Source organism: Homo sapiens, chromosome 1, assembly GCF_000001405.40.
Source record: "Homo sapiens chromosome 1, GRCh38.p14 Primary Assembly".
Taxonomy (NCBI): Eukaryota; Metazoa; Chordata; class Mammalia; order Primates; family Hominidae; genus Homo; species Homo sapiens.
In genome coordinates, this window is record NC_000001.11 from 61,718,417 (window position 1) to 61,731,175 (window position 12,759).

A 12,759-nucleotide genomic window follows, 5' to 3' on the forward strand; every position below is an offset into this window, starting at 1 on the left:
ATAAAGAATAGTTGCAGGAACACTTTTTCCATTTTATGGAATGAGGTGTTGACCAGTCTATAAAAAAAGAATAGTTCAGGCCAGAATCATTAATGGGATGTAAATCTAGGGGTGGTAGGGGGATATCTGCATGGCCTTAATGAGCATCCCTTTAGATTATTTATAGTTGCAAAGAAAAAAATACTAACTATACAGTAGAAAAAGCTAAGTGATAAACAATTAACATCACCAAGGAGAAAGAGATAGTTATCATATGCCCCCAGATGTGAGATGTTGGGAAGGACACTCCATCAATTATGTTACTTTACAGCGTGGAATGTATATCCTAAGTCTAATCATAAGGAAATATCAGACAGTCCCAATGAGGAACATTCTATTAAAATAAAGGGAGGCTGTAGTCATCAAACATGTAAGTCAATGCCATAAAAGACAAAGAAAGTTGTGGAAATGCACCAATTTAAAGAAAACTAAATGTAAAATCTGATTTTAGGATCCTGTACTGGGAGAAAATGCTAAAAAGGCATTATTTGGGTCATTTGATAAAATAAGAATATGGATTAAAGCATGTGTATTAATAAATTAAATTTACTAAAGTTGGTAACTGAACTGCATGTTAAGAAAATATTTCTATTTTCATTTTTTTGTTTTATTTTTTATTTATTTATTTTTTGGAGACAGGGTCTTGCTCTGTCGCCCAGGCTAGAGTGCACTGACACAATCAGGGCTCACTGCAGCCTCACCTCTCTGACTCAGTTATCAGCCTCCCAAGTAGCTGGGACTACACATGTGCGTCACCATGCCTGGCTAGTTTTTTGTAGAGACGGGGTTTCACCACATAGCCCAGGCTGGTCTAGAACTCCTGGGTTCAAGTGATCTGCCCACCTAAGCCTCCCAAAGTGCTGGGATTACAGGCATGGGCCACCACATCTGACCTGGAACATCTCTACAGAAAAACACAAAAGTATTTCTAGTGGCAGAAAAAAGTATATACACAGAGAGAGAGAGAGAGAGAGAGAGTATGTTAACAATTGGTCAATCTGGGTAAAGGGTATATGGATGGAGTTTTGTGGGTTTTTTTGTTTTTGTTTGTTTTGAGACGGAGTTTCACTCTTGTTGCCCAGGCTAGAGTGCAGTGGCGCAATCTTGGCTCACTGCAACCTCCACCTCCCGGGTTCAAGCAATTCTCCTGCTTCAGCCTCCCAAGTAGCTGGGATTACAGGCATGCGTCAGCACGCCCAGCTAATTTTGTATTTTTTTTAGTAGAGACGGGGTTTCTCCATGTTGGTGGGGCTGGTCTTGAACTCCTGACCTCAGGTGACCCACCTGCCTCGGCCTCCCCAAGTGCTGAGATTACAGGCATGAGCCACCACGCTCAGCCTAGGGTGGAGTGCTTTATACTACTCTTATTCTTCTAACTTTTCGGTAGGTTTGAAACTATCGCCAAATAAAAAGATAAAAAATAATATACTGTTTGCAACACTAATTTACAGTCAGAAGTTAGAATAAATAGTGGTTACCCACTGAGGCAGAGTAGTGACTATAAAAGACTATGAAGAGGGCTTCTGCCATGTTGATAATGTTGTTTCTTGATCTGGAAGCATTCACAGGTGTGTCGTTTGTGAAAATCATCTGAATTATACTTAGATGCACTTTTCTGTAAACATACTATACTTTAATACAAACTTAAGAAAATAAAGAAGACTTCTGTCAAAAGACCATAGCAAAATTTTCTGGAAGTGAAATCTAAATATTTTTTGTATTTCAGTGATAGAAAAATTGAAAATACTTGCTGATATATGTGTATGTAACCCAGACAGGACACTTCTTTTTTTTTTTCTTTTTTTAGACAGAGTCTGGCTCTGTCGCCCAGGCTGGAGTGCAGTGGCGTGACCTCGGCTCACTGCAACCTCCGCCTCCCAGGTTCAAGCAAGTCTCCTGCCTCAGCCTCCCAAGTTGCTGGGACTACAGGCATGTGCCACTACGCCTGGCTAATTTTTCTATTTTTAGTAGAGACAGGGTTTCGCCATGTTTGCCAGACTGGTCTCAAACTCCTGACCTCACATGATCCGCACACCTCAGCCTCCCAAAGTGATGGGATTATAGGTGTGAGCCACCTCACCCGGGCTGACAGAACACTTCTTGAGGGCAGGGATTATGTCTTCTTTTGTATATCACCTATACCACCAAGCAGATGCCTGCCACGTAATAATTTCTTAATAAATAAATATAAATAAATGAACAAATTCTCAATCAATAACAATATTTTGTAATATAAATTGTCTTAATAAAGTAAATTTAGTTTTAAATTATTCATTACCAATAAATACTTTCTCAATAAACAAATGCACTTATTGAATGATACTGAGCTAACCAAGAACCATTTTAAGATCACATCAATTTATTGTCATAGATGAATTTCCTTTGCCTTTTGTCCCAATTCCTACTCACTAGCCCCAAACTCCCCTCTGTAAAACACTGCTCACGTTCATCCCTACCCAAACATTAGTTTATGAAAATTGAACAGCCAGGTGTGGTGGCTCATGTCTGTAATCCCAGCACTTTGGAAAGCCAAGCAGGTGGATCGCTTGAGCCCAGGAGTTCCAGACCAGCCTAGGCAACATGGTACATCCCATCGCTACTCACCCCTCCAAAAAAATACAAAAAATTAGCCAGGTGTAGTGGCATGTACCTGTAGTCCCAGCTACTCAAGAGGCTGAGGTGGGAGGATCTCCTGAGCCTGGGAGGTGGAGGTTGCAGTGAGCTAAGACGGTGCCACTGCAGTCTAGCCTGGGTGACAGAGTGAGATCCTGTCTTAAAAAAAAGAAAAAGAAAGAAGAAAATTAGGCTGGGCTCAGTGGCTCACACCTATAATCCCAGCACTTTGGGAGGACGAGGCAGGTGGATCACCTGAGGTCAGGACTTCAAGACCAACCTGGCCAATACGGCGAAACCCTGCCTCTACTAAAAATACAAAGATTAGCTGGGCATGGTGGTGCACGCCTATAATCCCAGCTACTTGGGAGGCTGAGGCAGGAGAATCACTTGAATCCGGGAGGCAGAGGTTGCAATGAGCTGAGATTGCGCCACTGCACTCCAGCCTGAGCGACAGAGTGAGACTCTGTCTCAAAAAAAAAAAAAAAGAAAAAAGAAAAAGAAAAGTAAACATAGTTTGAGAATTTCACAATAGTTCTTCATATACTCAGTGAAAAAAACAAAGGAAAAATAATTTTGGCTGGAAGAATGAGAGAGATCACTTAACTCACACTTTTCACAACTCTTAATATTTTTCTCCTATGTTAGAACCAAAAAGCATGTTTCATGAGCTATTTTGATATCTGTCTCTGATCAGGAGTTAGAATTGATTCACCATAGTTAGTCCATGAGCTTTTGTGTGTTTTAAAAAAGGCAATTAGCCAGGCACAGTGGCTCATGCCTGTCATCCCACCACTTTAGGAGACCAAAGCAAGAGAACTGCTTGAGCCTATGAGTTCAAGACGAGGCTGGACAATATAGGGAGACCCTCATCTCTACAGCTAAAAAAAAAAAAAAAAAAAAAAAAAAAGTCAGGGAGCCAGTCCTGGTGGTTCATGCCTGTAAACCCAGCACTTTTTTTGGGAGGCCCAGGCAGGCAGATTGCTTGAACCCAAGAGTTTGAGACCAGCCTGGGCAACATGACGAAACCTTGTCTCTACCAAAAATACAAAAATAAAATAAAATAAATTAGCTGGGCGTGGTGACGCACACCTGTAGTCCCAGCTACTCCAGAGGCCGAGGTGGGAGGATCACTTGATCCTGGGAGGTGGAGGTTGCAGTGAACTGAGATGGCACCACTGCACTCCAGCCTGGGTGACATAATGAGACACCCAGAAAGAAAAGTAATAATATATGCCTTATAGAGGAGATATTGCTTAGTATGTATACATTTATTTTATTTAGATATATTACGCTTAAAGAAACTTTTTCCGCCCCAGAGACAGAGTCTTGCTCTGTCACCCAGGCCAGAGTGCAATGGCGCGATCTCGGCTCACTGTAACCTCTGCCTCCCAGGTTCAAGCAATTATCCTGCCTCAGCCTCCCGAGTAGCTGGGATTACAGGTGCCCATCACTGCACCTGGCTAATTTTTCTACTTTTAGTAGAGACGGGGTTTCACCATGTTGGCCAGGCTGGTGTTGAACTCCTGACCTCGTGATCCACCCGCCTTGGCCTCCCAAAGTGCTCGGATTACAGGTGTGAGCCACCATGCCTGGCCATTTAAAGGAACTTTGTAAGTAATCCTTTCCTTTGTAGTTAACTTATAAATATCCTTTGATTTGCCTGTTTTACACTTTGAAGTTGTTTATATCATAGTTTTCAGAATACAGAATAGAGTTACACATAAAGAAGAGTTAGTTCTCAAATAGTTGTTTCAATCATTCATATGAAAGATGCTAGAAATCTGTGAATACTAGTGTAACTCAAGCATCTCACTTCATACTGGGAAGCTGGCAGCCAGCTGTCTCAAAAATAAAAATAAAAAAAGTATTTTTCTCGCCTAGAGGGTTGTTTTGTATATATGGAGATTTCAAAGGAAATGACACAACTAAAAAGAATTTCTATCCCAAAAGAAGTCTGCCCTCCTGCCCTCCAGTTAGGTGTCCTCTGGAATAAAATGTTGAATCCACTTAAGAATTATTGATAAATAAATTCATAAACATGTAAAAAATCATTTTGGTGCCAACTGAATGTTAAATACACACACATAAACACATACCCCAAATCAAATAAATATAATCAAATATAAACCAAAGTAATATAATCAAAGTAATAGAAATGACATTTATCAAAGTGACATAAACGATAGTGATGAAGTTGCTGGGAAGCAGAAAGGACTTGTAGGTATTATGGCACTAGCCAAGAACTATCAGGTAAGTATTCATAGATGATATAAGTGGAGAGCTAAAGGAAAATAAAAGGAAGACTTTCCATGTGAGGGAATGATATGCTTATTAATTTGGGGAAAATAAAGTATATAAAATATAAGTACACTTGCCTAACTGAATCTGGGAACATCCACGTCCAGCCCTATTATTGTTTATATGGTGAAATTTCACCATTTCAGAACAAGTAAGATTCTTTTTTAAATTAAATACTGACAACCTCTAGGTAGTTCTCCAGTTTTAAGTTACTCTGGAAACTGAATAATAATGTTATCATTTAGAAAAAATGCATTTATTAATTGCCTTTAGTGATCATACATTGACCTATGAAATAATGTTTTTAAAATTATTTTTAAAGACATGTTTCTTGAAGTCTTACCATGAGCTGTGTAGTTTGTACAGTTAACTGGTTCTTGCGTAGCGTCATTTATTTTTGGATCTTTACAAATATATGTAAAAAAAAAAGTTAAGGAAATACGGACTACATTCCAACACAACACATTATCATGCCTTTACTATTCATATTATATACTCATGTTGATATTCACATGTAAATAGAGGCTGCTAGTTTGTCCAAGTCAATAAGCATATGTACAAATATACTTTTAGTATTGCTAAGTAATACTTGAGGCAGGAGGATCACTGGAGCCCAGGAGTTTGGGAAGAACAGCCTGGGCAACATAACGAGAAGTCTGTCTCTACAAATAATATAATAATACATAAACATTACAATAAACCTTTAAATTTGCCCCATAATTATCCACGTTTTTACTCATGAGAAAACAGAGTTCAAATAGGTCACCCAAGGTTGCAAAGTGCAACAGAAATTTATCCACTGAGTCCCCACGCGGTGGTTCATGGTGAGGGGGATGCGGATCGCTTGAGACCAGGAGTTCAAGACCAGCCTGGCCAACATGGCGTAAACCCCGTCTCTACTAAAAATACAAAAATTACCCGGGTGTGGTGGCGCATGCCTGTAGTCCCAGCTACTCAGGAGGCTGAGGCAGGAGAATTGACTGAACCCGGGAGGCGGAGGCTGCAGTGAGCTGAGATCGTGCCACTGTACTCCAGCCAGGGCGACAGAGTAAGACCCTGTCTCAAAAAAAGAAAACAGAAAGAAATTTGTCTGGCAGTCTACCATCTCATGAAGTTTGAAGATGACATGAGGTAATATGCATAATATACATAAAGTTAATGATAAATGGGCAACACATTGGCTAGATCGTTATTACTTGTCTTCCCCCTAGGAAGAGTTGGCAAACATTTCCAGGGTAAGAGACTATCCATCTTTGTATTACTAGTGTCTAGAACGGGGCCTGGCATACTTCAGGATCTACATGTTTTACTGAACAAGTAAGCACACTGATAAAAAAGAAAAAAAAAGTGGATCAGAAGAGGAAGCGCCAATGACTAGTAAAATCATAAGGAAATCACAAAGGGTGGCCTCTGGCCCTCCCATCTCCACAACTCTGTTCACCTTCAGGGATCCTTCAGTCATTAGAAGCCACAGATCAGATTATCGTTTTCACTCAGTACAGCCCTAGCCAGTCCTGACGGCAGCGACCCACCTGCGACCCCAACTCTACCTCGCCTCCATGGGGGGGTGTTCTCCACAGAGGATATTGTCCCACTTTGAGGTCCTCGCACTTAAGCGACTCCTCGCCCCCGGCGGAGGTGGCAACAGCCCCCCAGGGTCCTGTAGTGACTGAGACGAACCACAGGACACCAACGAGTCTGGCCGTCACGGCCTCCGGAGCAGACGGACCAGACGGCCAGGCGGCCGCCATCTTGGAGACCGACACTTTCTCGCCACTTCCGCTTCCGCCTCCGCCCAGGAGCGGGAGGGAGAAGGGCAACAGGGCGAGGTTCTTAAAGGGACCTCGCATAGGATAGAGGCCAGTTCCGTCTCTTCGCGTGTTCTTCTGCCCGTGAGCCCGTGGAATCACATTGGGAGACCCTTTTAAAATATGCATGTACCCAGTCCCTCGAGGCGAATTTTCCCCCACGAACCCTTGGAAGGAGCTAAGGTTAATCTTTGAGTGCTGGAGGAAGGAAACGAGTGGTTTAGGCAATCAGGTGCTTCACCCGCTTCTCATTCCCGCGCCCTTAGCTGAGGCTTCTCGGTCCTCTGAAAGTGCCAGCGGCGTCAGAGGTTGGAATCAATGCTTTCCTGACATCATCGCAGTTAGCCCTGATAGGTTTTGGGTTTACAGATAAGGAACAAGGCTCAAAGACGCTGAAACACACTGACCTTAATCACTAAGTGACTCAGTCGGAATGAAATTGATGTTTGCCAGATTTCAGATCTATGCTCTTACTAATTGACATAATGTCCTCCTGTAACTTTAGAGAAGGATTTTGGAAGGCTGCCACGAACAGAACTTAAAAACTGTGAGAGACATTACGCCTTTTAAAAAAAAAAAGTGACAATTTAGGTGGGGGATAATTTGGGGGGTGGAAACTGTAACAAGAGGAAACCAAATAGTTTATGATTAAGTGAAAAGTTGAAGATTTTTTTTCCTCCATCTGTTGTTTTTAAATTTCTATATGTTCTAAAAGTTCTGTGGTGGGGAACTTTAACAGTGAGGAAAAAATGTTTTCGTAAAGTTAAGTTTAATCTTTTTTTTGTCTAACAATATAAAAATTTGAACTTGAGTGGTGCTTCTTCATCCATACTTTAGCACTAACTTTGGTGGTTCTCAAACTTTGAATAGCATCTGAATCACCTGTAGTAGTTATTAAAACAGAATGATAGAACCGGCACTCAGAGTTTCTGATACAAAAGATGTAGGGAGGGACTGGATAATTTCCATTTCTAGGAGATCCCAAGGGATGTGGGTGTTGCTAGTCCAGGGACCCCCACTTTGAGAACACTGGTATAATGTTTTACGAGAAGTAAATTTTTTTTTTTAAGATGGAATCTCTCTCTGCCACCCAGGCTGGAGTACAGTGGCAGAATCTCAGCTCACTGCAACCTCTGCCTTCTGGTTCAAGTGATTCGCCTGCCTCAACCTCCTGAGTAGCTGGGACTGCACGCGTGCGCCACCACGCTCAGCTAATTTTTGTATTTTTAGTAAAGACAGGGTTTCACCATTTTGGCCAGGCTGGTCTCGAACTCCTGGCCTAAGTGATCTGCCCGCCTCTGCCTCCTAAAGTGCTGGGATTTCAGGTGTGAGGCCACACTGTGCCTGGCCTCATTTTGGAATATATATTCTGGAAGACATACAACTATTTGAAGTAATATTTAAACATAAACTACGTTTTTAAATTTTCTTTTTTTGAGGTGGAGTTTCACTGTTGTTGCCCAGGCTGGACTGCAATGGCATGATCTCGGCTCACTGCAACCTCCGCCTCCCAGGTTCAAGCTATTCTCCTGTCTCAGCATCCGGAAAGGCTGGGATTACGGCGCCCACTACCAGCCCAGCTAATTTTTGTATTTTTAGTAGAGACGAGGTTTCACCATGTTGAGCAGGCTGGTCTCGAACTCATGACTTAAGGTGATCCACCCGCCTCTGCCTCCCAAAGTGCTGGGATTACAGGCGCGAGCCACGGCGCCTGGCCCTAAAATTTTCATAATAAAACAACTTTGTAGCATTACTATGCTTTATTCATTCATTCATTTAGAGACAGAAATGGAGTTGAGACGGGAGTTTTGCTCTTGTTGCCCAGGCTGGAGTGCAATGGCACGATTCTCGCTTACTGCAAACTCCACTTCCCAGGTTCAAGCTATTCTCCTACCTCAGCCTCCTGAGTAGCTGGAATTACAGCCATGAGTCACCACGCCTGGCTAATTTTGTATTTTTAGTAGAGACGGGGTTTCTCCATGTTGATCAGGCTAGTCTCCAACTTCCGACCTCAGGTGATCCACCCGTCTGAGCCTCCCAAAGGTCTGGGATTACAGGCATGAACCACCACGCCCCGCTGCTATTTTTTGAGATGGAGTCTCGCTCTGTCATCCAGGCTGGAGTGCAGTGGCACGATCTTGGCTCACTGCAACCTCTGCCTCCCGGGGTCAAGCAATTCTCCTGCCTCAGCCTCCTGAGTAGCTGGGATTACAGGCGCACGCCACCACGCGCAGCTAATTTTTGTATTTTTTAGTAGAGACAGGATTTCACCATGTTGGTCAGGCTAGTCTCGAACTCCTGACCTCGTGATCCGCCCGCCTTGGCTTCCCAAAGTGCTGGAATACAGGCGTGAGCCACCGCGCCCCGCCGCTATTTTTAATTTAAGACATTTATACATAATATTTATGCTTTAAATCAGGTTTAAATGATTTAAGTGAAAAATTTAGTAGTTCAGTTATAAACTTCCTATTCTAAATGGACTTCTTCCTTCTCTCTTTTTTCTTCCTTCGTTTTTCCTTTCTTTCCTTTTTTTCCGTCCTCCCTCTCCCTCCAAAAAGGAAAAAAAAATTGTTTTTAATTGAGCATTTACTATGTACTCAGCATGAAGCTAGACCCTAGACTCAAAAATTTAGACAAAAACCCTGCAGGTAAGCACTTCCTGTTTGGTAAGGGAAAATACAAACAGTTAAATACTATTTGATAAGTGTTTGATAATTGTTACATTAGAAGCACATACTAGCTACTGTAGTAGGACAATGGGTTTGCTTAAGATATTCCTCCTGTGCCTGGCGTGGTGGCTCAAGCCTGTAATCCTAGCACTTTGGAAGGCCAAGGAAGGCAGATGGCTTGAACAAAAAAAAGAAAAGAAAAAGAAACATTTAAAAAAGATTCTCCCAAAATAGTAGTTGAAACGCTATATTTTTGTAGGATACATGACTGCTTAAAAAGGTATAGCCTAGGGCTGGGCGCAGTGGCTCACACTTGTATTCCCAGCACTTTGGGAAACCAAGGTGGGCGGATCGTGATGTCAGGAGATCAAGACCATCCTGGCTAACACGGTGAAACCCTGACTCTGCTAAAAATACAAACAATTAGCCCGGCGTGGTGGGACGCGCCTATAGTCCCAGCTACTCCAGAGGCTGAGGTAGGAGAATCACTTGAACCCGGGAGGCGGAGGTTGCAGTGTATAGCCTAGAAAACGAACCTTTAAACTTTTACTTAGGCCAGGCGTGGTCACTCAGCCTGTAATCCCAGCACTTTGGGAGGCCGAGGCAGGCAGATAACCTGAGGTCAGGAGATCAAGACCATCCTGGCTAACGTGGTGAAACTCTGTCTCTACTAAAACAAAAATTAGCCCTGCGTGGAGAGGGCGCCTGTAGTCCCAGCTACTCTGGAGGCTGAGGCAGGAGAATCGCTTGAACCCGGGAGGCAGAGGTTGCTGTGAACCCAGGTCTGCCATTGCACTCCAGCCTGGGTAACGAGCTAAATTCCGTCTCAAAAAAACAGATAAAAAAACAAAAAAACCTTGAATTTAAAAAACAAAAACCGGCCGGGTGCAGTGGCTCATGTCTGTAATCCTAGCACTTTGGGAGGCCGAGGTGAGTGGATCACAACGTCAGGAGTTCGAGACCAGCCTGGCCAATATGGTGAAACCCCGTCTGGAGTAAAAAAAAAAAAAAGTGCAAAAATTAGCTGGGCATGGTGGTGGGCGCCTGTAGTCCCAGCTACTCGGGACGCTGAGGCAGGAGAATCGCTTGAACCCAGGAGGCAGAGGTTGCAGTGAGCCGAGATCATGCCACTGCACTCCAGCCTGGGCGACGGAGCGAGACTCCGTCTCAAAAACAAGCAAACAACAACAAAGACAAAAAAAAAAAAACACAAAAACCAAACAGAAAAGCTAATCAAATGTACAATATACAGCTCAACACCATCCCTCAGCCCTATTCTGAGATGAAATTTATGACATGGTTACGAGGCAAGGATTAGGTAAAATCTGGCCAGGCACGGTATCTCACGCCTGTAATCCCAGCACTTTGGGAGGCTGAGGCAGGCGGATCACCTGAGGCCAGGAGATAGAGACCAGCCTGAGCAACATGGAGAAACCCCGTCTCTACTAAAAATTCAAAAATTAGCCAGGCATGATGGAGCGTGCCTGTAGCCCCGGCTACTCAGGAGGCTGCGGCAGGAGAATTGTTGAACCCGGTAGGTGGAGGTTGCGGTGAGCCAAGATCACACCATTGCACTCCAGCCTGGGCAACAAGAGCAAAACTCTTCTCAAAAAAAAAAAAAAAAATCTGTCAAAGGCAAAATTACAACAAATTCAGTTATATATCTAATTAACTTTTAGTCACAATTCAAGGAGTGGGGCAGCCTTCATTCTATACACTAGAAAGAAAACTCCCGCTGGGCAATAATAAAACACTGGGTTTTGTAAGGTGGGAACAAAGAAACAGCAACAGAAAAATTCGCGGTTGGAGGCTGGGCATGGTGGCTCCCCAACACTTCGGGAGCCCAATGTGGAAGGATCACTTGAGTCCAGGAGTTTGAGTTCTAAGACCAGCCTGGACAGCATAGACTCCATCTCTACAAAAAGCAAAAAATTGCCTGGGCATGCCTCTAGTCCTAGCTACTAAAGAGGCTGAGCCTGGAGAATCAGGTGAGCCCAGGAGTTCAAGGCTGCAGTGAGCCATGATTGTGCCACTGCACTCCAGGCTGGGCAATAGCACAAGTCCCTGTCTCCAAAAAAAAAGTGGGGAGGAGGAGGGAGAGGAGGAGGAGAAAAAAGAAAAAGAAGGGGTTTGTAGGGTTTTTTGTAAGGGTTAAAGCAGAGGGGACTTCCTTGTTATGGAGACTCAAGTAGACTGGAATCTCCTGCTTTCAGGAAAAATTGGTCTGTTTGGGGATCTATCTGCTTCCTTAAACCTTCAGTTGAGCATGTGGCTTTTAGCATGAGTGAATCCATTTTGGTTTGATCTGGTATTTGGGGGCCTAGTGCAGGAGCTCAGTTTGAAACAATGGCCTCCCATAATTTTTGTTTAAGAAATCCAAGACTAAGGATCAGAATATCTGTTACACATATTACCTGGTAATAAAAGACAGTAACTTTGCATTTTGACTACCATTTTGATGCTTTTAGAATGTTCTGGTTTGGAATCTATAAAGAACTTAAACAAATTTACAAGAAAAAAAACAACTCCATCAAAAAGTGGGCCAAGAGTATGAACAGACATTTCTTAAAAGAAGATATTTATGTGGCCAACAAACATATGAAAAAAAGCTCATCATCACCGGTCATTAGAGAAATGCAAATCAAAACCACAGTGAAATACCATCTCACGCCAGTTAGAATGGCGATCATTAAAAAGTCCGGAAACAAAAGATGCTGGAGAGGATGTGGAGAAATAGGAGTGCTTTTACACTGTTGGTGGGAGTGTAAATTAGTTCAACCATTGTGGAAGACAGAGTGGCGATTCCTCAAAGATCTAGAAACAGAAATACTATTTGACCCAGCAATCCCGTTACTGGGTATATACCCAAAGCATTATAAATCATTCTACTGTAAAGACACATGCACACATATGTTTATTGTGGCACTTTTCACAATAGCAAAGACTTGGAACCAACCCAAATGCCCATCAATGATAGACTAGATGAAGAAAATGTGACACATATACACCATGGAATACTATGCAGCCTTAAAAAAGGATGAGTTCATGTCATTTGCAGGGACATAGGTGAAGCTGGAAACCATCATTCTCAGCAAACTAACACTGGAACAGAAAACCAAACACTGCATGTTCTCACTCACAAGTGGGAGTTGAACAATGAGAACACATGGACACAGGGAGGGGAACATTACACACTGGGGCTGTCAGGGGGTGGGGGGCTAGGGGAGGGAGCGCATTAGGAGAAATACTTAATGTAGATGACAGGTTGATGGGTGCAGCAAACCACCATGGCACGTGTATACCTATGTAACAAACCTGCACGTTCTGCA

General features: G+C 43.0%; 1 protein-coding gene across 8 annotated transcripts in view, besides 5 other annotated features; it reads right to left on the reverse strand.

Moving 5' to 3' along the window:
* The window catches only part of TM2D1 (TM2 domain containing 1), a 44,096-nt gene extending 37,371 nt beyond the window's left edge, over positions 1-6,725 (reverse strand). For 4 of the 8 annotated variants that reach the window (XR_007064044.1, XM_047431744.1, XM_047431745.1 and 1 more), the window contains exons 1-3: positions 6,504-6,725; positions 5,872-6,013; positions 5,297-5,356 (exon numbers count right to left, since the gene is read on the reverse strand). Coding sequence is in view for 4 of the 8 variants with exons in the window: in XM_047431744.1 (XP_047287700.1) it covers positions 5,297-5,356; positions 5,872-6,013; positions 6,504-6,704 (403 nt within the window). In the remaining 4 variants the exon portion in view is untranslated. Of the gene's footprint in view, positions 1-5,296; positions 5,371-5,871; positions 6,014-6,503 lie in introns of all 8 variants that reach the window. The other 4 variants (NR_135161.2, NR_135160.2, NM_032027.3 and 1 more) reach the window with 2 other exon arrangements.
* Positions 6,027-6,714: an enhancer, noted in NCBI's record as "H3K27ac hESC enhancer chr1:62190115-62190802 (GRCh37/hg19 assembly coordinates)". NCBI's record gives its function as "activates a minimal SCP1, AML or CMV promoter by ChIP-STARR-seq in naive H9 embryonic stem cells {active_cell/tissue: H9 hESC(naive)}" and the evidence as "EXISTENCE:reporter gene assay evidence [ECO:0000049][PMID:30033119]".
* Positions 6,027-7,400: a biological region, named in NCBI's record as "MED14-independent group 3 enhancer GRCh37_chr1:62190259-62191458".
* Positions 6,171-7,370: an enhancer, noted in NCBI's record as "MED14-independent group 3 enhancer chr1:62190259-62191458 (GRCh37/hg19 assembly coordinates)". NCBI's record gives its function as "activates an origin of replication core promoter dependent on BRD2, BRD4, P300/CBP and CDK7 cofactors, and independent of MED14, by STARR-seq in HCT116 cells {active_cell/tissue: HCT116}" and the evidence as "EXISTENCE:reporter gene assay evidence [ECO:0000049][PMID:35650434]".
* Positions 6,407-7,066: an enhancer, noted in NCBI's record as "active region_1114". NCBI's record gives its function as "activates an Ori minimal core promoter by ATAC-STARR-seq in GM12878 lymphoblastoid cells {active_cell/tissue: GM12878}" and the evidence as "EXISTENCE:reporter gene assay evidence [ECO:0000049][PMID:35858748]".
* Positions 6,715-7,400: an enhancer, noted in NCBI's record as "H3K27ac hESC enhancer chr1:62190803-62191488 (GRCh37/hg19 assembly coordinates)". NCBI's record gives its function as "activates a minimal SCP1, AML or CMV promoter by ChIP-STARR-seq in naive and primed H9 embryonic stem cells {active_cell/tissue: H9 hESC(naive and primed)}" and the evidence as "EXISTENCE:reporter gene assay evidence [ECO:0000049][PMID:30033119]".